This window comes from Homo sapiens, chromosome 8 (genome assembly GCF_000001405.40).
Source record: "Homo sapiens chromosome 8, GRCh38.p14 Primary Assembly".
NCBI lineage: Eukaryota > Metazoa > Chordata > Mammalia > Primates > Hominidae > Homo > Homo sapiens.
The window spans coordinates 119831652-119855939 of record NC_000008.11 but is presented as its reverse complement, the minus strand read 5'-3'; the positions used below and the strand labels follow the sequence as shown (position 1 = coordinate 119855939).

At 42.4% G+C, this 24288-nt stretch overlaps 2 protein-coding genes and 1 long non-coding RNA gene across 10 annotated transcripts in view, besides 3 other annotated features; 2 read left to right on the top strand and 1 right to left on the bottom strand.

The window, feature by feature from the left end:
• Positions 1 to 23061, bottom strand: part of LOC105375728 (uncharacterized) — a 36035-nt gene extending 12974 nt beyond the window's left edge. The window contains exons 1-3 of one of the 4 annotated variants that reach the window (XR_928590.3): positions 22864 to 23061; positions 1138 to 1265; positions 61 to 534 (exon numbers count right to left, since the gene is read on the bottom strand). This is a non-coding gene — a long non-coding RNA (uncharacterized LOC105375728). Of the gene's footprint in view, positions 1 to 60; positions 1266 to 1518; positions 2926 to 22863 lie in introns of those variants that run through there. The other 3 variants (XR_007061079.1, XR_007061078.1, XR_001745684.2) reach the window with 3 other exon arrangements.
• Positions 46 to 21964, top strand: DSCC1 (DNA replication and sister chromatid cohesion 1). Of its 2 annotated transcripts, NM_024094.3 has the most exons (9): positions 46 to 326; positions 2725 to 2893; positions 5424 to 5558; positions 8860 to 8950; positions 12193 to 12331; positions 13112 to 13164; positions 13992 to 14146; positions 17533 to 17681; positions 20939 to 21964. In NM_024094.3, exons 1-9 carry the CDS (start codon positions 145 to 147, stop codon positions 21045 to 21047), a joined length of 1182 nt encoding a protein of 393 aa, NP_076999.2. In that variant the 5' UTR covers positions 46 to 144; the 3' UTR covers positions 21048 to 21964. The 2 variants fall into 2 exon arrangements, with proteins under 2 accessions (NP_076999.2, XP_005251122.1); XM_005251065.5 differs by lacking the exon at positions 5424 to 5558.
• Positions 65 to 374: an enhancer, noted in NCBI's record as "active region_27844". NCBI's record gives its function as "activates an Ori minimal core promoter by ATAC-STARR-seq in GM12878 lymphoblastoid cells {active_cell/tissue: GM12878}" and the evidence as "EXISTENCE:reporter gene assay evidence [ECO:0000049][PMID:35858748]".
• Positions 22978 to 23337: an enhancer, noted in NCBI's record as "active region_27843". NCBI's record gives its function as "activates an Ori minimal core promoter by ATAC-STARR-seq in GM12878 lymphoblastoid cells {active_cell/tissue: GM12878}" and the evidence as "EXISTENCE:reporter gene assay evidence [ECO:0000049][PMID:35858748]".
• TAF2 (TATA-box binding protein associated factor 2) overlaps positions 23099 to 24288 on the top strand; it is a 102068-nt gene continuing 100878 nt past the window's right edge. For all 4 annotated transcript variants that reach the window (NM_001437339.1, NM_001438084.1, NM_003184.4 and 1 more), the window contains exons 1-2: positions 23099 to 23458; positions 24209 to 24263. In NM_001437339.1, coding sequence (NP_001424268.1) covers positions 23376 to 23458; positions 24209 to 24263 — 138 coding nt within the window. In that variant the 5' untranslated portion in view covers positions 23099 to 23375. The remainder of the gene's footprint in view (positions 23459 to 24208; positions 24264 to 24288) is intronic.
• Positions 23398 to 23447: an enhancer, noted in NCBI's record as "active region_27842". NCBI's record gives its function as "activates an Ori minimal core promoter by ATAC-STARR-seq in GM12878 lymphoblastoid cells {active_cell/tissue: GM12878}" and the evidence as "EXISTENCE:reporter gene assay evidence [ECO:0000049][PMID:35858748]".

The following is a 24288-nucleotide window of genomic DNA, read 5'->3' as shown; positions in this document are numbered from 1 at the left end:
CCGCCCCGGAAACACGCCCATGGCCGCCTTGGCGCGCTTTCAAACGCTCAGGTTTCCTACCTTCCGGCTGCTTGGGAACTTCTTTCTTGCCCGCCAAGCCCGCAGCCACCCGGGCGCGGCGGGACTCCTAGACCCGGCGCTGCGATGAAGAGGACCCGCGACGAGGTGGATGCGACGCTGCAGATCGCCAAGCTGAATGCGGCCGAGCTGCTGCCGGCGGTGCACTGCCTGGGCTTCGGCCCTGGGGCCAGCGGCGCTGCAGCCGGCGACTTCTGCCTGCTGGAGCTGGAGCCCACGCTGTGCCAGCAGCTGGAGGATGGACACAGGTGAGCCCTGGTCACGCGGCGCCCCCAGCCTCTGGCCGGCCACGTTATTTTCTCAGCGGGGAAAGTCGGGATAAGAAAACAGGGCCAGAGAGATGCACTGACCTGGCCGGGGGCTCATAGCAAGCTGCCTGTTCCCGAGGAGTCCACGCCTCCGGTGGGCCGTCCAGTTAGCTGCACTGCGGTGATGAGTAGCACTGGTCCAGCTGACCTTGGAGGCATGTGTCAGCGGGAGCAAGTCAGGAAATACTAATACAACCTCCGTGAAGTTTTTGAAGAGTTACCGGTGATTACAGGGACTCTACAGGACACCTGTCACTCTACCTTAAAATACAGTGGTGATACCCAATGTTTATAGAACTCTTGCCTTCCACTTATATTTATTTTACTCAGATGATAGATAGGAAGTGCTGGGAATCAGCTTACAGACTTGGTAATTGGGTGAGACCCCTACCCACCCCGAAGCAAACTTGCTTAGTAGGGATCTGAAGCTGTTTCTAATTCCAGGTCAGATACAAACTTGCTGCAAGATCATTGATTAGAAGTCGAAGTTGAGGTAGTTTTTTAAAGGCAGTCTTGAGAAGTCTAGAGAATCGTTATATCCCTCCACCCTGTGCAGCCCCAGCTCCTGCAAAATAGGGAGCTCCAGCTTGATTCTCTTTTGCACAATTGGTCCTCCGACACCTATATTTTATTAGGCTATTTTTTCTCTTTTTTCTTAATGGAATCCTTTAGGCTGTCTTTCAGTTTTCGTACTTTGCCCACCAAAGAGTGTTAGAGTAAACTGGCCATTCTTCAGATACCTGCTATATACCTCAAAGTACCTTTAAGGGAACTGAAAGAACTTCACTAGTCTGTTTCCATCCCGGTTCAGTTGGTGGAGAGTTGAGAAAGGAACTCAGGTGTGAGGACTTTCTCTCGGTCCAGTTCTAGTTAATCTAGCTGGCAAAAACAAAACAAAACAAAAACAAAAAAATAAAAACAGGCCCTGGAAACGTGTGTTTTTAATTTTGGGGTGTAGGGAGTGATGGTATAAACAAAATATTTCAAAGTGGGGGTAGTGCAGTTAGAGAAATAAATGTTAAAGACTAGGTACTTGGGCCTATTAAGCATTATTAGCATTAGGAATCTAAAAAACCTTTTATTCTTTTTACTTAAATGAAGACTTAGTCAAAAATAAATACACAGTCTGCTATTTCAGGTTTCTTATTATTTATTCAAAAGAAACGAGTTGTGCACAGGAGAATTAAATGCTTTACAGACAAGGAAAACTGCTAGAACCAACTCCCCTGTCATTGCCATCATCTTTGTCTTTAATCCTTCCTTTTCCTCCGCTTCACCTTCATCCTTTCCTCTTCCTTCTTTTTTCTTTATCTTTTTTTTGGGGAGAGAGTGGTGGGAACAGGGTCTCACTCTGTCAGCCAGGCTGGAGTGCAGTGGCACAATCACGGCTCTCTGCATGATGGTGCCATGACTACTTGGGGTCAGGCGATCCTCCCACCAGCCTCCTGAGTAGCTGAGACTTAAGGTGTGCATCATCACACCCAGCTAACTTTTAAATTTTTCTTTTGTAGTGATGGGGTCTTGCTATGTTTCTCAGGCTGGTCTCAAACTCCTGCTCTCGAGCGATCTTCTGGCCTCAGCCTCCTAAAGTGCTAGGATTACAGGCATGAGCCACTGCGTTCTTGCTTTTCTTCAAAATCCCTTTGTCAAAGTCTTTGGTTTAGTACAGTTTTTAAACATATCCTTTTCATATTTTTCATTCACCACTGCATCCTTTTTTTCATAAGGTCCCAATTTTTTTGCAACACAACTTATGGTTAGGCCAGGATGTGCTCCTTTGATTGTGAGGGGGTACTCAGAACAAAACAAGGACGACACTTGGGTGGGGTACCATGAGCAGCAGCTTGGCCTTGGCCTTTCTTCGGGAACTTGTTAGAAATACGGGACCCTGGGTCCCATCCTAGACCCAGTGTATCCCACTCTGCTTTTGAACAACACTCTCTAAGATGCCTATGCATAAATTTGAGAAGTACCACTTTAGCATGTTGTAGAAAATTGAGACAGCTTGACTGAAGCTTCAGGATGCTTTGTCTTGTGTTCTTTCCAGCAGTTTGCACAAGATGCCATGTAGTGCCATTTGGCCTCTTGGCCTCTATGGATCTGTCTTGCCCATCTTTAATTATTTTTCCTTAATGAGGCTCTGGGTGGGGCGTCTGTGTGGCTCTCAGTTGGCCCAATGCTTGCTGTGTGGAATCCAGCATTGTGCTAGCAGGGGGCAGAGGCAGCATCAAAACTTAATTCTAAGTTCTGCAAGCCTAGAGGGTTTGAGAACTGTTTATGATGAAAATGGCTACTGGATTGTCAATAAACTATATATTTTTCCCCCATTTTGCTACAGTCTTGTGATTCGTGGTGATAAAGACGAGCAAGCTGTGCTGTGCAGTAAAGACAAAACATACGACTTGAAGATAGCAGACACTTCCAATATGTTGCTTTTCATTCCTGGTTGTAAAACTCCGGACCAGTTGAAGAAGGAAGATTCACACTGTAACATTATTCACACTGAGGTGCTCTTTTCTGTACTCTGATTTATAAAAGTCTGAGAATGAAAACAGATATGGTAATTTGATCTTTAGTTAAAAAGTTTACGTGTAAAATCTATAATCAGGGAGAATCTAAGAAGTTCTTTAAAGAAATTTGAATTTCTCAGCATTATTATTATTATTATTGCTTGTTTGTTGGAGTCTTGTGAACTTGTCTGTTTTTTCCTGTTTTGATTTTCAAGTCCCAATTTGATCTTTTTTCTATAATGTGCAAAGTTTGTTATTCAATGAGTCATTCTAAAAATTCTACCCATTTTTAGTAGATTTTGCTGTGGATGTGTTTTGAAAGGAGACTCCCTCAGACCGTAACTGGTTCATTTGGTAATATTTATGAGGTGGAGAAATGAAGAAATTTGGGCCAGGTGTGGTGGCTCACGCCTGTAATCCTAGCACTTTGGGAGGCCAAGGTGTGCCGATTGTCGGACCTCAGGAGTTTGAGACTAGCCTGGGCAACACGGTAAAACCCTGTCTCTACTAAAATGCAAAAAAATTAGCCAAGCGTGGTGGCGTGCACCTGTAATCCCAGCTACTTGGGAGGCTGAGGCAGGAGAATTGCTTGAATCCAGGAGGCAGAGGTTTCAGAGAGCCGAGATCACGCCACTGCACTCCAGCCTGGGTGACAGAGCAAGACTCTGTCTCCAAAAAAGAAATGAAGAAATTTGAGTTTTTGAAGGAAGTGTGTTTCTTAGCTTTGAAGTTGGTTTAGTTCATTAATATCTGTAGCCAAGTATAACAAACTTTTAATTATTTTGGAGAATATTGATGGCAGTAACCAAACAACTGTCTAAGTTGTTACATATATAAAACAGTAACTAAGTTCTTACATATATAACAATCCAAGCATAGCCCTTATTTCTTTGGGAATGACTTTAGGCCAACTATATCCTTAAATACAGAATTGGAGAGGAAAGAAGGGAAAATGCTGGGAAGCTCCAGTGATTCATATGATGTTACTAGAATAGAGGAACATCCAGTAAATATACTAGGTTGGTTTTTGTAGGTTTTAAGTCTTTCATTGTAATTAACTAAAAATATTGGCAGTTCATCCTATTGTAAAAAAGTGTTATTTTTTCATCACTTATCTGTTCTGTAGGTGTTTTTGTGAGGGCATAATAATGTCTATGAGAATCTTTGAGCTCTTGCTTGTTATGGAAATTCTATGTACTGAGATTGGCTAAAACTTCAAGATCCACTAACCAAAGCCATAATCCGTGATTGAACCTCAGATGCTTAAAGGGGTTAGATGAGAAATAGGCTGGGGTTGATAAATGGTGGTAGATACCCAGGAGTAACGGAGTGGTTGGGTCTACAGCAAATTGGAAAGCACAGTCCCCAAGTAGGTGGACGGCCACTACTCAGCTGCCTTGTGGGAAAGTAGGCCCAGCGCTGCTAGATTTTTGATTTATTTTTTCCAAGTAATTCTTGAAATTTAGATTTTTGGGGTGAAATCTCCTAATTTTTTAAATGTTGGCATCTAATTGAAACACTATGCCAAACCTCCCCCAGCACACAAAAGCATACCACAATATCTGTGTATTGGACGTAGCCAGAAGGCTGCCATTTTTTTGTTTTGCTTTGTTTTTCCTGAGATGACAATAAAACAGCAAACCACTTTTAACTATGGATAAAATCAGTCTGTCAGATTTGGTCCTTAAGCTCTTCTTTGGGAAGCCTTAGATTCAGCAACATCTCCTTCAGGCTCTAGGCCTCATCTTGTCAATCAAGCCTTATCCTAGCTTGAAAGTAGAAGCATCCCCTGTCCTTCCATTTCAGAGTTGGAGGGCATCCCAAAGATAATCCAGTTGAGCCTTTTTTCTTTTATGAAACACTTGTTGGGCACCTACTCAGAGCTAGGAACTAGGCAAGTCCTGTAAGTGCAGGCAAGGATAACAGATATTCATCCATTCTCTAGCCTCTTATCAACTGGATTTTGAGTGGTAGGCCTCTCACTATTTCACAAATCGAACAGTGGAATTAGCTGCAGTTCTAAACATTAGAAAGATCTTGTATTAAACAGAAATCTCTGTCCCTTAACTTCTGCCTCATTTCAACGTGAGCAACACACCCCCTCTTCCCTTTAATGTCCCTATTTGAAGACTATAATACCTTTTCTCTGTTTTGTTTTTTTGTTTGTTTGTTTGTTTTTTGCCTAAGTATATTCATTTTTAGTTGTTTCCACTTGGTTTGGAGAATTGTCACCATCCTGTCATTTTTTCTGGGCATACTCTAGTTTTCAGAGTACATTTGAGATGTGACATTCAATTATTGATTCTTACAATGTTGACAGTATCTTATTAAGGGGATTTGAAAAGATGTTCTTGAGGATGCCCATCCATCTAGTTGAGATGGCTGGATAAATACCTTCCTGATACAAAGCAGAATACCTTGGAGCTTCCTTTGTACTTGTTGAGGGGGCAGATTGATTAGTTGTAATTTTGTATGAAATTTTCCTTTAGAATGGCCCCTAAAAGGTTACGATATATATAATTTCTAGATCTTTGGTTTTTCTAATAATTATTGGGAATTAAGAAGACGTAGACCCAAGTTAAAGAAGCTAAAGAAACTTTTGATGGAAAATCCATATGAAGGACCTGACAGTCAAAAAGAGAAGGATTCAAATAGCTCAAAAGTAAGACTTATTTTCACTTTTTTATTTGGAATTTAACAACTATAATCAGAGGCACTTAATAGTCACATTCTTACTTTTTAAAATTTATGTTATATAGCTGTTATAAATGCTTGTGTTAAAAAAGTTATAAAATTTCAAGCACACCCCAAAGCACACATAGTATAATGACCCCCATATATTTGTCATTCACTTGAACAATTAATGTCTTGTCAGTCTTCTTTCTTCTATCCCCTTTCTATCCTTCCATCTTTTTAATTTTTCTAGAGTATTTTAAAGCAGATCCTATATATCATAATGCCATTTATATAGCTAAGAGCTTCTCATATTCTTAACTTTGAAATAATAGTTTTTTTAGAGGTAAAAAATTTATTTAATTAAAATTATGACTAGATGCTCTTGAGAGGGGACATAATGGAAGCTATTCTTACTCCAGTGTCAAAATTAACTAATTCCTGAAAGTATGGAAAAACATAAACAAAGTAAAAAACAGTTTTAAAATTTTTAATTTAAAAATTACAGAACTCTACTGGTATATGAAGACCATGTTTGTACTAGAAGTTCCCTTTTTTCCCAATGGACTCTTTCTAAAAATTTTTTTGGTAACAGCTTTATTGAGATATAATTCACATACCACACAATTCACCAGTTTTAAAGTATGCAATTGAATAATTTTTTGTACATTCTCAGAGTTGTGCAACCATTACCACCATCAAGTTTAGAACATTTTTATAACCCCAGAAAGAAACCCTGTAGCCTTTAGCTGTCACCTTCCAGTACCACTTTCTTCTCTCCCCTTTCCCCTAGGCTACCACTAATAAACTTTCTGTCTATATAGATTTGCCTATTCTGGACATTTCATATAAATGGAATCATATAATATGTGGCCTTTTCTGACTAGCTTCTTTCACTTAGCGTGATCATTTCAAGGTTCATTTATGTTGTAGCATGTATCAGTGTTTTGTTTTGTTTTGTTTGCAGACGGAGTTTTGCTCTTCTTGCCCAGGCTGGAGTGCAGTGGCGCAGTCTTGGCTCACTGCAACCTCTGCCTCCTGGGTTCAAGTGATTCTCCTGCCTCAGCCTCCCGAATAGCTGGGATTACAGGTGCATGCCACCATGCCCAGCTAATTTTGTACTTTCAGTAGACATGGGGTTTCACCATGTTGGCCAGGCTAGTCTTTTTTTTTTTTTTTTTTTTTTGAGAGGGAGTCTCGCTCTGTCGCCCAGGCTGGAGTGCAGTGGCGCGATCTCGGCTCACTGCAAGCTCCGCCTCCCGGGTTCACGCCATTCTCCTGCCTCAGCCTCCCGAATAGCTGGGACTACAGGCGCCCGCCACCGCGCCCAGCTAATTTTTTAGTATTTTTAGTAGAGACGGGGTTTCACCGTGTTAGCCAGGATGGTCTCGATCTCCTGACCTCGTGATCCACCCGCCTCGGCCTCCCAAAGTGCTAGGATTACAGGCTTGAGCCACCGCGCCCGGCCGGCCAGGCTAGTCTTGAACTCCTGACCTCTGGTGATCTGCCCACCTCAGCCTCCCAAAGTGGTGGGATTACAGGCATGAGCCACCATGCCCGGCTGCAGTGTTTTATTCCTTTTTGTTGCTGAATAGTATCTCATTTTATGGACATACTCATATTTTATGCATTCATTTGTCAGCTAATAGACATTTGGGTAACTTCTACTTTTTGGATATTAAGAATAATGCTTCTGCGAACATTCGTATACAAGATTTTAATGTGGATCTATGTTTTCATTTTTCTTGGGTATGTACCTAGGAGCAGAATTGATGGGTCATGTGGTGACTCTGTAGAAGCTTTCAAGCTGCCGTACTGTTTCCAGAGTGGCTGCACTATTTTCCATTGATGTTGAACATCTTTTCATGGGCTTATTGACGATTTGTATATCTTTGGAGAAATGCCCATTCGGTTTCTTTGCCTGATTTTTAATTATTTATCTTTTTATTACTGAGTTGTAAGCGAATTCTTTAGATAGTCCAGATACAAGTCCTTTATCAGATATATTATTTGCAAATATTTTCTCCCATTTTGTGGGTTGTCTTTCGACTTTCTTGCTTTTTTCAATTGGAGTAAAATATACATAACATAAAATTTAACATTTTTGGGGTTGGGGGCAATGGTTCACACCTGTAATCCCAGCAATTTAGGAGGGCAGGGTAGGAGGATTGCTTCAGTCCAGGAGTTTGAGACCAGTCTGGGCAACATAGCAAGAATCTGTCTCTACAAAATATTTAAAAATTAGCTGGGGCTGGCTGCACACCTGTAGTCCCAGGATGAGGTGAGAAAATCGCTTGAGTCCAGGAGGTCAGGGCTGTAAGTGAGCCGTGATCACACCACTGCAGTCCAGCCTGATGGCAGAGTGAGACTCTGTATTTAAAAAAAACAAAAACAAAAACAAAAAGAGGCCAGGCGGGGTGGCTCACGCCTGTAATCCAAGCACTTTGGGGGACCAAGGCGGGCAGATCACCTGAGGTCGGGAGTTCGAGACCAGCCTGACCTACACGGAGAAACCGTGCCTCAACTGAAAATTCAAAATTTGCCAGGTGTGGTGGCGCATGCCTGTAATCCCAGCTATTCAGGAGGTTGAGGCAGGAGAATCGTTTGAACCTGGGAGGCAGAGGTTGTGGTGAGCCAAGATCGCACCATTGCACTCTAGCCTGGGCAACAAGAGCGAAACTCCGTCTCAAAAAAAAAAAAAAAGAAAAAGAAGAAAAAATAAAATTTACCATTTTAAAGTATACAGTTCAGTAGCATCAAGTACATTCATAGTGGTGTGCAGTCATTAGCACTATCCATCTCTAGAACTTCTCCATCTTCTCAAACTGAAACTCTGTACTTGTTCAACAATCACTCCCATTTCCCCTGTCCCCTCAGCCCCTGGCAGCCACCATTCTACTTTCTGTCTCTCTGAATTTGACTGCTCTTAATACCTCAGATAAGTGGAATCATACAGTATTTGTCCTTTTGTGGTGATAGTGTTTTGAAGTGCAAAAGTTTATTATTTTGATGATGTCCAATTGATCTACTTTTTCTTTTGTTGTTTGGGTTTTTGGTGTCATATTTAATAAGCCATCACCCAAACCCAGTGTCATGAAGATTTACCTCTATTTGTTTTCTAAGACATCCATTGATTTTGTGTAGAAATCATTACATGTTAACAAAAGAAACTGAGCTAGTGCATAAATATTGCCTTAATCTGTTCTATGTATTTATTCCTCAATATTCAGCAAGAAATCTAAAAACAAAATATTCTTCAAAGGCCTTAAAATATTTTTTTCTTTTTGCAGTATACAACTGAAGATTTGCTTGATCAAATTCAGGCAAGTGAGGAAGAAATAATGACCCAATTACAAGTTCTAAATGCCTGTAAGATTGGAGGTAGCGTTACTTACTACTATTTTAACAATGATGAAATTGGGCATCATAAGGGAGAGAAGTTTTTGGACATCTTCACCCTACTGCGTATAGTTTATTTAATATTCTTTTGGGTTTAAGGATGGTGTCATTTGGGCCGGGCGCAGTGGCTTACGCCTGTAATCCCAGCACTTTGGGAAGCTGAGGCGGGCAGATACTTGAGGCCAGGAGTTTGAGAGCAGCCTTGCCAATGTGGCGAAACCCTGTCTACTAAAAATACAAAATTAGCTGGGTGTGGTGGTGCATGCCTGTAATTCCACCTACTAGGGAGGGAGGCTGAGGTACGAGAGTTGCTTGAACCTGGGAGGCAGAGGTTGCAGAGAGCTGAGATGGCACCACTATTCTTTAGCTTGGGCATCAGAGCGAAACTCTTGTCTAAAGAAAGAAAAGATGGTGATATTTGTCTTTCTTGTTGTAGGATAGAGATTTCATCTTTACATGAGGTCAATCTGCTACCAGTGACTTTAATCACACTTTGACTCCTTCCAATTTTTTTGAATTAGGTGGTAAAGGAAGAACCATGTTAGATTAAGAAAGGTCCAAGCTGGGCATGGTGGCTCATGCCTGTAATGCCAGCACTTTGGGAGGCCGAGGCTGGCCGATCACGACGTCAGGAGTTTGAGACCAGCCTGGCCAACATGGTGAAATCCTGTCTCTACTAAAAATACAAAAATCAACCAGGCGTGGTGGTGGGTGCCTGTAATCCCAGCTACTCAGGAGGCTGAGGCAGGAGAATCCCTTGAAACTGGAAGGCGGAGGTTGCAGTGAGCGGAGATCGCGTCACTGCCCTCCAGCCTGGGCGAAAGAGCAAAACTCCGTCAAAAAAAAAAAAAAAAAAAAGTCCTTAGACATCAAATAGTCTAATCTTTTATTTTTTATAACTGGTGAGGAAACTAGGGCCTAGGAAGGGCAACTAACTTGTCCAGGGTACATGTGGAGTTAGTGACAGCATATGGCATAGAACCCAGGTCCTTGAACTCCTAGCAAAATTAATTTTTTTTCTTTTGGATGGAGTCTCACTCTGTCACCCAGGCTGGAGTACAGTGGCGTGATCTCGGCTCACTGCAGCCTCCGTCTCGTGGGTTCAAGTGATTCTCCTGCCTCAACCTCCTGAGTAGCTGGGGTTACAGTCATGCGCCACCACGTCCAGCTAATTTTTGTGTTTTTGGTAGAGATGGGGTTTTGCCATGTTGGCCAGGCTGGTCTTGAACCTCTCAGCTCAGGTGATCCTCCTGCCTTGGCCTCCCAAAGTGCTGAGATTACAGGTGTGAGCCACGGTGCCCAGCCCTAAAGCTTTTTTTTTTTTTAAAGGCAAATGAAACCATGCATTTTAATGCAGCCCTCTGCATTATTAACTTGCAGCATGGGGATGGATACAATTTCTCTAGGGGGATGCGTAGATTACTTCTTGCTTTCTTCCTCAGTTTTACATCACACAATCCATTTTTTAAATGTTGTCTTTATGTTTTCAGAGTAAGAATAGAAACATTCTCCTTTAGAAATGGTGGATGTATACTTTTCTTTCTCTGGGGTGGTGGTCGTGCCATCAATTATAAAATGGCATTTCATGGCCAGGCATAGTGGCTCATGCCTGTAGTCCCAGCCCTTTGCAGGCCAAGGCAAGTGGACCACCTGAGGTCGGGAGTTCGAGACCAGCCTGGCCAACATGGTGAAACCCTGTCTAGTAAAAATACAAAAAACTTGGCCGGGCATGTTGGCGCATGCCTATAGTCCCAGCTACTCAGGAGGCTAAGGCAGGAGAATCATTTGAACCCGGGAGGTGGAGGTTGCAGTGAGCTGAGATCGTGCCACTACGCCTCCAGCCTGGGCAACAGAGTGAGACTCCATCACAAATAAATAAATAAATAAATAAATAAATAAATAAATAAATAAATAAATAAAATGGCATGTCATAATCTCTCACAGGAATAGGAAAGGGATCTTTATGAAGCCCAGCCCTTAACTTGGCCCTCATCCACATTGTACCTCAGAGTCTATCATCTCTTTGGTGAGCTGGACTTCTTCATGAGTATAGAAATGCCTCTGCAAGATAGCTCTGATGAGAGTTATAACTATGGTAGTGCAGCACAGCAGAGATTATCATGAATATTGAACCTGTGACCTTCACCTCATTTGTATGACATTCTAATGAAATGACTGTACCAACTGCAGATTTCCTAATTTCTGTTTGGAATGACAAGATTATTGTGAGATAACTGAATGTCAAAGCACTGGAGAGAGGGGGTGCCATGGTATGTGCCTTTAATATCCCAGCTACTCTGGAGGCTGAGGCAGGAGGATCATTTGAGCACAGGAGTTTAAGACCAGCTTGGGCAAGAGTAAGACCCCATCTCTAAGAAAAAAAAAAAAAGAAAGCACTTGAGAAAAGCTAGTCATATGTAAAGTACTCTTGAAAAACAACTTGATCTCCCTGAAGACACAGTTTAAAATGATTGGGAGAAAAGCTTAAAAAGAAGCACTGTTTATAGAAAGTGAAGACTTTTTTTTTTTTTTTTTTGGAGACAGTCTCACCATTGCCCAAGTTGGAATGCAGTGGTGTAATCTTGGCTCACTACAACCTCGGCCTCCCAGGTTCAAGCAATTCTCATGCCTCAGCCTCCTGAGCAGCTGGGATTACAGATGTGCACCACCACGCCCAGCTAATTTTTTGTATTTTTAGTCGAGATGGGGTTTCACTATGTTGGCCAGGCTGGTCTCGAACTCCTGGCCTAAAGTGATCCACCAGCCTCGGCCTCCCAAAGTGTTGGGATTACAGGAGTGAGCCAGCACGCCCAGCCTAGTGTCTCTTTTTTGCAGTGAGCAAAAGTATGCTGTGACTTTGTCAATCTATTAGCTAGTTTACATAAAATGTTCTTTGGGCCGGCACGGTGGCTCATGCCTGTAATCCCAGCACTTTGGGAGGCTGAGGCGGGCTGACGATGTGAGGTCAGAAGGTCAGGACCAGCCTGGCCAACATGGTGGAACCCTGTTTCTACTAAAAATACAAAAATTAGCCAGGCATGGTAGTGCGTGCCCGTAGTCCCAGCTGCTCAGGAGACTGAGATGGCAGAATTGCTTGAAACCAGGAGGTGGAGGTTGCGATGAGCTGAGATCACGCCACTGAACTCCAGCTTGGGTGACAGAGTTGAGACCCTGCCTTAAAAAAAAAAAAGTTCTTTGGTAAATATAACTTTTGAAATTTGTAGGTTATTGGAGGATTCTTGAATTTGATTATGAGATGAAACTTCTGAATCATGTAACTCAGCTTGTGGATTCTGAATCATGGTCTTTTGGTAAAGTTCCTTTGAACACATGCCTTCAGGAACTCGGACCATTGGAGCCAGAGTAAGTATTTTAATTTCTTGTCTATCCAGATTTCCTTAAGGGGAAGGGAGTTGTTTTACAGATTGGAATTAAACCCAGGGCATAAACTACAATCATTGTATTTTGATATCTTTGAGAAATGTTTACAATTACAACCGAAGAAGATTTGGGAATTTTGGTCACTGGGGTGAATACATGTGCATTATCTTGTTTGTTTTTGGCCATAAAAATATAAAGAAATAGGCTGGGCGCAGTGGCTCATGCCTGTAATCCCAGCACTTTGGGAGGCCGAGGCAGGTGGATCATGAGGTCAGGAGATCAAGACTGTCCTGGCCAACACGGTGAAACCCCGTCTCTACTAAAAAGTACAAAAATTAGCTGGGCGTGGTGCCGTGTGCCTGTAGTCCCAGCTGCTAGGGAGCCCGAGGCAGGAGAATTGCTTGAACTCCGGAAGTGGAGGTTGCAGTGAGCTGAGATTGCGCTACTGCACTCTCAAAAAAAAAAAAAAAATAAAATAAAACAAACAATAAATAAAGGAAATAATATGTTTGAGCTATTTTATAATAATAAATTTATGCTTACATAATTGATGTTAAAATGTTTAGCATGGGGCCTGGCACATAGTAGCTTCCCAGTATATTTTACTTAGTTCCTAATTTAAATAAAATAATATTTGGCAACCAAAATCACTTAGTATTTGAAATCTCAAATTTCTTTCTTAATTTTGAGTTGGCAATGGGGTTAAAATATAGTGCATAAAAATGCTTATAACTTTTCAAGTGGGTGTTTTAAATTTTTCAGGGAAATGATAGAACACTGTCTTAAATGTTATGGGAAGAAATATGTAGATGAAGGTAAGATTTGGAAAGTATTCTCATTTAACTCTTATATGTTAAAACTGGCATACCTTTCTAAAGCCTGTCGGTGTTAAAAATAAGAACTCTGGCTGGGTGCAGTGGCTCACACCTATAATCCCAGCACTTTGGAAGGCTGCAGTGGGTGGGTCGCTTGAACCCAGGATTTCAAGACCAGCTTGGGCAACATGATAAAATGCTGTCTCCACAAAAAAAAATCCAAAAATTAGCTGGGTGTGGCAGTGCATGCCTGTAGTCCCAGCTACTCAGGAATCCGAGGTGGGAGGATCACCTGAGCCCGGGGAGGTCGAGGCGGCAATGAACCTTCATTGTGCCACTGCTCTCTGGCCTAGGCAACAGAGTGAGACCCTCTCTCTCAGAAAGAAAAAAAAAAAAAAAAAGGCCAGTGCAGTGGTTCACGCCTGTAACCCCAGCACTTTGGGAGGCCAAGGTGTGCGGATCACCTGAGGTGTCAGGAGTTTGAGACAAGCCTGGCCAACATGGTGAAACCCCATCTCTACTAAAAATAAAAAAATTAGCCAGGCGTGATGGCACACACCTGTAATCCCAGCTTCCTGGGAGGCTGGGACAGGAGAATCACTTGAACCCAAGAGGTGGAGGCTGCAATGAGCCAAGATCACGCCAATGCACGCCAGCCTGGGTGACAGAGCGAGACTCTGTCTCAAAAAAAAACGAACTATGGGGTTGTCGGAAGTGAGTTTAGGTGTATAATTCCTTTCAAGAAACTGCAGCAAAGAAAAGGAAATGTTAGTATAATATTTAATTGTAAGATGATAATATGAAAATATCTGATAACTTTTCCTTAGGCGAAGTTTATTTTGAGTTGGATGCTGATAAAATATGTAGAGCAGCAGCACGAATGCTACTTCAGAATGCGGTGAAATTCAATCTCGCTGAGTTTCAAGAAGTGTGGCAGCAGAGTGTTCCTGAAGGAATGGTAACTAGTCTTGATCAGCTTAAGGTAATAGCAATAGACATTGCCACCTTACTTCAACAGTTGATTAATTACTAGGTGAATGATACTTGAGTTGGAGCTGAATTTGGAACCAATTTCTTTTCTTAGACACCCATTAGGAGTGCATGTACATCCAATCCATCACATAGTCCTTAAAACCCAATAAAGTATTGGGGTATAATTTACATATTATAAAATATACCTTTAAAATATTTTTAATAATTTTAAAATAAGTTGCTCTCACTACAATACAGTTTTAGAACATATCTATCACCTCTACAAGATCGCTTGGGTCCATTTTCTGTTAATCCCTCTTCCTACTCAGTGTATCTCATTTTGTTCCGTTTCTCACCATTTCCATCACCCCTCTCCTAGTCCAAACTACCTTGATTTTCTGCCTCTAAACAGCAATAGCATCCCTGGGCATGCCCCTTGCACTTTTAATTTTGCTCCCTTCCAATCCATTCTCTGTGACGCTACTAGAATGATCTTTTGAAAATGCCAGTCAGACCAAGTGCGGTAGCTCACGCCTGTAATCCCAGCACTTTGAGAGACCAAGGCAGGCAGATCACCTGAGGTCAGGAGTTCAAGACCAGCCTGGCCAACATGGCCAAAGCCCATCTCTACTAAACATACAAAAATTAGCCATGTGTGGTGGCAGGCACCTGTAATCCTAGTTACTCGGGAGACTGAGGCAGGAGAATTGCTTGAACCTGGGAGGCGGAGGTTGCAGGGAGCCGAGTTCATGCCAGTGCAGTCCAGCCTGGGCGACAGAGCAAGACTCTGTCTCAAAAATAATAATAATAATAATAAATAAATAAATAAATGCTAGTCAGATCAGATGAATGTCCTGCTTAAATCATTTTATTTATTTATTTATTTATTTTTGAGACTGAGTCTCATTCTGTCACCCAGGCTGGAGTGCAGTGGCTCAATCTCGGCTCACTGCAACCCCCGCCTCCTGGGTTCAAGGGATTCTCCTGCCTCAGGCTCCCGAGTAGCTAGGATTACTGGCACCCACCACCACACCCAGCTAATTTTTGTATGCTTAGTAGAGACGGGGTTTCGCCATGTTGGCCAGGCTGGTCTCGAACTCCTGACCTCAGGTGATCTGCCCACCTTGGCCTCCCAAAGTGCTGAGATTATAGATGTGAGCCACTGCACCCGGCCTTAAATCAGTTTAATGGTCACCTACTGCACTCAGGATAAAAAACTCAGAATTCATGTCTTGGCCTATAAGGCCCTTCAGGATCACCTTCATAGCTTCATCTCTGGCTACTTCCCTTCTGCTCACTGCATACCAACCCTCTTTCAGGTTTTCAACATCATCAAGCTCTCACCTACCTTAGGACCTTCACACAAAGCTTTTTGTTCTAGAATGATATTCTCTCTAATTTCATCTGGTCACCTCCTGCTCATCTTTGAGTCACTTCAAGGAGGCCTTCCTTCATTCTCTGCTTGAAGCAAAGACCTCTGGTTTTACTCTTTGATAGCACGCTATTCTTTCCTTCATGGCACTCTCCCCTTAGCTTGGAAAAATGTTTATGTGGTTCACCACTCTCTACTTTGATGGCATTTTGTTTGCTGTTGCTTGCTAGTATGTAGCATACTACCTGGCATGTGGCGTATACTTGGTAAATATTTTGTTAGTTAAATGAAAAGATTTGCTTGGTATTTATGGAGTTCTTTTTATGTTGAGGCACCATGCTAGGTGCTCAGGAGAAATGTCATACCAGGTGTCATTATGGTGCTTAGCCTGGGAACTGGCAATGGGGGAGACATATTACATGCATAAATCTGTTCTTACAATGCAGAGTGATCTACGCCATGGGAAAGGCATGCACACGATGTTATGAGAACAAAGAAAAGGGGCTTAGCCATCAGACTGGTCAATCACGGATGACTTTCTGACGGAATAGACGTTTTAGCTGCTGAGTATGGAAAGATGAACTGTTGCTCTCTAGATGGAGGGAAAGCCAGAGGTGGAAATCTAGGAGAGCACGGTCAAAGGTGGGGGGCAAATAAAAATTAAGGCACTGTTGTAGGGATGCATGGGCTGGAGTAAAGGATGCTTGTGAGGTAAGGACACTGTGGACTGCGCTAAGGACTTTCAACTCTTTCTAGAAAGCTCTTTGAGGCCACTGAGTGACATCAGTTAGAGAGGTTACCTCATCAGGAACTCATCAGTTTGGCCTTTTGAAAAGAATACTATGACAATAAACAAGATGGACAGACGGAAGGTTGGTTAGATTATGAAAAAGGATTACTGTGCAGGCTGTCAACACATATGCTCCCAACTAAGAGAGTACTGGCTAAAGAGATAGGTAATGGGGGAATGGACAGAGGAATCCTGAAGCCTTAACACCTATTATATAGACTTTAGTGACCACATAGGTGTGGGGTTTGACTAATGGAATCAAAGCTGATGCCTCAGTTTCCTGTTTTCCTAGGATAGTGGAACTAGAGCAGGTTTGGATGATAAATGAGTTCATGTATAGATTTGGATATAGAGGTCTGGGACTCAAGAGAGACATCTCAGCTGAAGATATAAGTATTATAGTCATTAGCAAGTAAGTGGTGGCTCAGGCTACAGGTTTAGATGAGGTTACTCAGTAGAGTGACAGTGAAGCAAGTGGAGTGGTTGGGATGGAAGCCTCAGGGAGCTACAACATCAAGTTACGAGGAAAATAAAAAGACTGATGTCAGGGATGGAGAGATATTTAAAGGAGGAGGAGTAATCAACAGTAACGAAAATAGACGGCTAGGGACTGGGCACAGTGGCTCACACCTGTAATCTCAGCACTTTGGGAAGTTGAGGTGGGTGGATCACTTGAGGCCAGGAGTTCAAGACCAGCCTAACCTACATGGTGAAACCCCTTCTCTACTAAAAATATAAAAATTAGCTGGATGTGGTGGTGTGCACCTGTAGTCACAGCTACTCAGGAGGCGGAGTCAGGAGACTCTCTTGAACCCAGGAGGCAGAGGTTGCAGTGAGCCAAGACTGTGCCACTGCACTCCAGCCTGGGTGACAGAGCAAGACTCTGTCTCAAAAAGGAAAAAAAAACAAAATAGAAAATAGAGGGCTAACACGATGAATCCAAGAAAAGGGCCCACTGGATTTGGCAATGACAGGTTACTGGTGACCTTTAGAACCAAAGCTGTCTTGATAGACTGCTGATGGTAGAAGCCAGATTGCAGAGGAGGAAAGAAGTCACTGCTTAAAGGAGCTCTTTGTATGAAAAAGGCGATTGTAAATCTCTGGATAGTTTAAGTTTCATGTAGCTGACATTTTGAATATCTTGAGCTAAGCTAAACCTAAAGGTAAAAGAATGAGTCATGTTTAAACATTACAACATTACTTTAACTGCTCTGTTTCTTCTCATTTCTTGTAGGGTTTAGCGCTGGTGGATAGACACTCGAGACCAGAAATCATATTTTTGCTGAAAGTAGATGATTTACCTGAGGATAATCAGGAACGTTTTAATAGCCTTTTCTCTCTAAGGGAGAAGTGGACAGAAGAAGATATTGCTCCATATATTCAGTAAGTAATTTATTAAAGACGGATTTTGAGGGTCGTTCTTTTTATAGTCAATGGCACAGCATTTTAGATTTATGATTGGAACACAATTTTCTTGAGTATTCCCTGAGGATACTGCTTCCCTAGAAACTCTTAGGTGGTGGCTGTCTTCTCTGTCCTCCATAATTACTGCTTCTGGAGGTGGAATATGTGTTATCTCTGTTCCTCACTATTGCTTCTAAAACCACTTCTCTGCTCTCATTCCTGGAAAACTGTCCCCTTTGAGGGACAAAATACAGGCCCTACTATGACTCTAAGGCAAACACCCATCTCTGATTGCCACCTCATGCCTTACTTTATTTAACATTTTGGGAGAGGCCAGATTGCAGTAGAACACGTTAGCCCCAAAGTCACTTCTTACAAAATCTTGAGTCCCCTAACGCTTGAAATCCACTAACACTACAACTTTGTCACTGCATCACACCTCTCAGGTGCTCTTTCTTCTCTTTACCCAGCTCGAATCCTGTGGCTGGCCTTCTTAGCTCTTACTGTCTACACTTTACTCCTGTGGCCCTCTCTCCCTCTTGCCATATCTCCCTGGCAAAAAGCTAAAAAGATTAGACTCAACTTTCTGCTTACCCTGTGCCTACACGTGGCCAGCTGAAACTTTTTGGAGAATACACAATGAAGCTGCCAGTCTTGCTTAAGAACCTAGTGGTACTTACAACGGCCCCTCACCAGGCATGATTTGCTCATGAAACTTCTCTACCCTTGGAGCTTCTTCTACATCTTCTTTTCCTTTTTCATACCAGCAGTACCCTCTCTTTCCTTTTATGATCTTATTTTTTTCAGAACATAGAAGCAGTGAGGCCAGAACAACCTTCTTTCCCACTGCCAAATTGGCCAACCTCCTCATGTGTACACCTACTTCCTTTGCAGTCCTGTGTAGTGTATGAATTGTCCCTGCTCCTAAGGCCAATCCTTCTGCACTAGGTCTATCTCCTCTGCCTTCTTAAAGACTTGGATCCTTGAGTTATCCCTTTCATCCCTTGAGTTATTAATGTCTCCCTCTTCTGGATCATCCCCATCAGCATACAAAATTCTGTAATATTGCCCATCTTGCAAGACAACAATAGCAACCTACTGGACCCTATGTCCTTTGCTCTCCTTCATAAGAAAATGCCTTTTACAAGTTTCCTATACTCACTCTATGCTTTTCACCTCCCATTCTTTCCTTTACCCAATGACATCTTCTTAATCCAATGACATCCATCTTTCTATACTCAATGGTTAATTATTTGTCCTTGATTACTTGACTTAGCACTATTTGACAGTGTCTGCTTCCTCCTACTTGAAACACAAGTTTCTCCCCTCTTCCTTGGATGAGAGGGGAGAAAACCATCTCTTTTGTTGATGTCTCCCTGTTCTTCTTCTCAATCTCTAAATGTTGGAGTGCTCCAGGTCTATTTTTGGGCCATCTTCTCTTCTGTTTATACTTTTCCTTTGGTGCCCTCATCTAGGCCTGGAAACAAATTTAATGACTTCCTAATTCCATCTTCATACTTGCCCTTTTCCCTGAGGTCCAGATTCCTATATCTAGTTGCTTAATTTACCTTTCCAGTTGGATATCCAATAGGAATTTCAAGCTTAACATGTTCATAACAGAACTGTTGCTTCTCCCTCATCCTTAACACAGTTAACAGCACCACTACTAATCCAGTTACTTAAACTAAAGTCTAGGAATCATCCCTGTCCTTTCTTTCCCCTACCTTCTGGTTCAAACTATGAGCAAACCCTGATGGATCATCTTGTACCTGCCTCTGAATTGGTCTCCCTGTTCTATTTTTGCCCCCTTCTCCTTTCTCCTTCTTATACTGTTTAAATATTCAAAAATGACAATATAATGAGACCTCCATATATCCACTGCTCATCTTCCATAATCGTCAACTCATTGGCTCCTTTATTTATTTGAGACAGAGTCTCACTCTGTTGCCCAGGTTGGAGTGCAGTGGTGTGATATCGGCTCACTGCAACATTTGCCTCCCGAGTTTAAGGGATTCTCCTGCCTTAGCCTCCCAAGTAGCTGGGACTACTGGTGTGCACCACCATGCCCAGCTAATTCTTGTGTTTTTAGTAGAGACAGGGTTTCACCATGTTGGCCAGGCTGGTCTCAAACTCCTGACCTCAAGTGATCTGCCCACCTTGGCCTCCTAAAGTGCTGGGATTACAGGCATGAGCCGCCGCGCCCGGCCACCTCCATTATTTAAAACTTAGATCACATTGTACTTTTCCATTAATTAAAACACTCCTAGTTGCTTCCCATTATATGTAGAATTAAGTCACAATTCTTTTTCCCTGTCCTTCAAGGTTCTACGTGATCTAGCTGTTGCCCCTTCTCTAGCTCACGTCCTCCTATTCCTCCCTCTCCTTATTATGTTCCGGTCGTAATCTTCTTCTCTTTGAGGTACAGAAGAGGAAACCAAAGTTCAGGAAGCATTGGTAACCTAGACAAGTTCACACAGGTACCTTGTATCCAGGTTCTCTGACTCTAGGCCCTGCTGTGTAGGCCTCACTGTATTACACTGCTTGTATTTCTAATTTAGAGGCTGTGTCATATAATAGAAATAGCATAGACTTTGAAGTTGTACAAACCTGGTGGCAGGATTTGACTCTCATTTATTACTTGTCTGAGCCATAGTTCTCATATCTAATATAGGGTTAAATAATACATTATTTCTAGTTTTTGTTTTTTGCTTTTTTTTTTGTTTGTTTTTTTGAGACAGAGTCTCACACTGTCACTCAGGCTGGAGTGCAGTGGCGCGATCTCCGCTCACTGCAACCTCTGCCTCCCGGGTTCAAGCAATTCTCCTGCCCCAGCCTCCCAAGTAGCTGGGATAACAGGTGCCCACCACCACACCCGGCTAATTTTTTTCTATTTTTAATAGAGACAGGGTTTCACTACGTTGGCCAGGCTGATCTTCAACTCCTGACCTTGTGATCTGCCCACCTCGGCCTCCCAAAGTGCTGGGATTACAGGCGTGAGCCACCCGCCTGGCCTACTCCTACTTTTATTGTGTGGGTTAAATGAGACAATACATATAATGTACTTAATTTAATTAAAACTTAGAACCACTCCCCACCCTATCTCTCCCACAAACACCTACACTTACGCTTGTTGAGAAGACAGATTCAGGGGGAGAGAGAGAAAATAAGTACATAGTACTGTATCATAATATGTTCCCTAAAATATTCATGTTATATATTTTTTATTGTTCCTACAGAGATTTGTGTGGAGAGAAGCAAACCATAGGTGCATTACTCACTAAATATTCTCATTCTTCGATGCAAAATGGTGTTAAAGTTTATAATTCGAGAAGACCCATTTCTTAAAAGAACAACGGTCTTTTCTTCAGGACTCAAGTTGCTTTATAAAGTTGCTGGATAGAAGAAAAATAACTTGTACTTTTATTTCTGACTTTTAGAAACCTAGTCTTCTAAGGCATTTTTCTCCTCATCTTAAGCATTTTGAAACTACTGTTATTTCTTAAATGTTATAGGATGTAGCTTTAAAATTATATTTGTACTATGTACACAGTGTAAACAAGGACAAAAGAATTCTTTCCTATATTATGTCTGAGGTCTCTATGATTTATTTAAAGTTTGGCTTTTTATATTTAAAATGTCATTTCTTTACTTAGGATTTGATGTTCTAATCATTAATACACTTAAGTTTTCCAGAGAACTAAATAGTAATAGTTTCATAGAAGAGAACTATTTATTCACTTAAATATCATTTCTCAAGTGAGTGAGTTCCCCTCTACTTTTAGCCTTCCACCCAAACTGGAAGCCTCTAGGTGCTATCAATTATTTATATCCATCGTTTACATCCATGAAATTGGCTGAATAATTACTCCTCTGCCTGGCGTAGACATGCGCTTTGGGAAAAAAACGAGTTTATAATCCTATAATGAAGAATACTGGCACAGGCAATGCTCACTCGAAAACTTCAAGTAATTTCTAGTTGGTTTTGGAATGCTTGATAAAGTTCCTTTACAGCTTTATTTTCCTGATTTGTTTTGGTTTAGATCAAAGTTCAAATTAATTTTAACTTAGCTAATGAACTCATCACCAGGACAGTTGGAGGGGGTAGGCCGAGGTTAAATGGTCCACGTTTCAAAAATGTTAATGGCTAATCCATAATTAAAGAAGGTTTAACTGTTACTGAAGTTTACAAGTTTTATTGTCATGAACATGAAATACAAACACGATGGCTTCGAAATGTCTTTCAATAAATGTTTCTGCATTTATATGGATTATATGATATATATACACAGTCTATATATCTCTATGTAGTCTATTTATTTATTTTGAGAGGGAGTCTCGCTTTGTCTCCCAGACTGGAGTGCAATGGCATGATCTCAGCTCACTGCAAACTCGGCTTCCCGAGTTCAGGTGATTCTGGTGCCTCACCCTCCCGAGTGGCTGGGAATACAGGCGCACGCCACGACGCAGGGCTAATTTTTGTATTTTTACTAGAGACGGGCTTTCACCATGTTGGCCAGGCTGGTCTTGAACTGCTGACCTCAAGTGATATGACTGCCTCAGTTTCCCTAAGTGCTAGGATTACAGGCGTGAGCCACCACGCCTGGCCTGTAGTCTATATTTTATTCTTTTTTTTTTTTTCTGAGACAGTCTCAGCTCTGTCGCCCAGGCTGGAGTGCAGTGGAACGATCTCAGCTCGCTGCAACTTCCGTCTCCCAGGTTCAAGCAATTCTCCTGCCCCAGCCTCCCAAGTAGCTGGGATTACAGGCGTGCACCACCACGCCCAGCTAATTTTGTGTAATTTTTAGTAGAGACGGGGTTTCACCATGTTGGTCAGGCTGGTCTCGAACTCCTGACCTCAAATGATCGGCCCGCCTCGGCCTCCCAAAGTGTTGGGATTACAGGAGTGAGCCACTGCGCCCGGCCTTGTAATCTATATTTTAAAATAAATACTAAGGCAGCAGTGCCTAGTGAGAGCTGTGGAGTGCTGCAGTTTTGACATTTAGACTACCTGCAGTCTAATCACATATTTTACAGCTTAAATCACCGGACCCAGTGTGTCTGTTCACACAGCAAGCCAGAGGCACGCACCTCCTGATTTCGGGAGACTTCCCACCACCCCACCCCGCCCAGTTACTAGCACCCTGCCCCAGCCTATTTATACCTGGCTCTTCGCAAACTTTGTCCTCCATTCTTCTCAATATGCTTGTACTAGAAAACTACCTTCCCTCCTTTTCTTCCTGCTGTTCTCGCTTCATCCATTAAATAGTTTTTTCCCTATCCTAAATTTTAACAATTCTTTACGATAAGACACATGCGAAGATCGCAAGCCCTGCCCATTGACAAGACTTCCTGGTTCTACCCCCGCCGCCGTTCCACTTCCGCTGACGTCGGAGGTCAGAGGTTACAGACAAGATGTCGGCGGATGGTAGCTTCGAGCCCTTGCGGAGAGGAGCATCTCTGTGACAGAAGCTTGTCGACGGCGGCTTCTAGGAGCTAGTCGAAGGAGCGAGGTTGAGGCGGGCAGCGACCCGTCAGGTCGCTCACCTGGGCACCGGCCAGCTGCGAGACGTGACTTGGGGACCGCAGGGGAGTGGAGAGTGTGAGGTGCCAAAGACTAGTAATGCCCCGTATCCCCCTAGGAAGCCGGGAAGCCAAGCTCCGCGGGACCGCTTCATGCCGCTGACTGGTGTAGAGCCCGCCAGAATGAACAGGAAGAAAGGAGACAAGGGCTTTGAAAGCCCAAGGCCATATAAATTATAAGTATTTTTTCATTTCCCTTCCTTCCTTTTGGTTTTGTTGCCATTAATTATATTTTGCGATTGCTTGAAATTGACTTGGTGGGCCTGGGAAACCTAGTGGGAAACTAGAATTTACTCACTGTGATGGAAATGGTGTTTGTAAGGTAAAAATGTTTTGAATGACAGGTTATTCAGCAAATTTAATTCCCGTTGCAAGTTACTAAAGTTTTTGTCTAAGTACTAGATTGTATTTCTGTCAAATCTGTTTTCGTGACTGTTGCTAGATTTTAAAAAATTATCCCAATTGGTAGAGTGTTTTTTTTTTTTTAATTTTTTAATTTTTAAGACGGAGTCTCTCAGTCGCCCAGGCTGGAGTGCAACGGCGCGATCTCGGCTCACTGCAGCCTCCACCTGCCGGGTTCAAGCTTTTCTCCTGGCTCAGCCTCCTGAGTAGCCGGGATTACAGGCGTGTGCCACGATGCCCGGCTAACTTTTGTATTTTTAGTAGAGACTCGGTTTCACTCTGTTGGCCAGGCTGGTCTCGAACTCTTGACCTCGTGATCCGCTTGCCGTGGCCTCCCAAAGTGCTGGGATTACAGGCGTGAGCCACCGCACCAGGCCCCAATTCGTAGTTTTAAAATGAAATATTGACATGTAATTTTGAATTACTTAGAACATAGTCCTAATTTATACTTGGATAGAATTATACTTTGATTTAATAATAAAAATTATTTTTTCCTTATTTTCTTTTTATATTTATTAATATACAACCCATCAGGTCGTCTGCATCAACAACATAAATTTCCAGAGAAAATCTGTTGTGGTAAGTTTATTCTCAACAATTATAA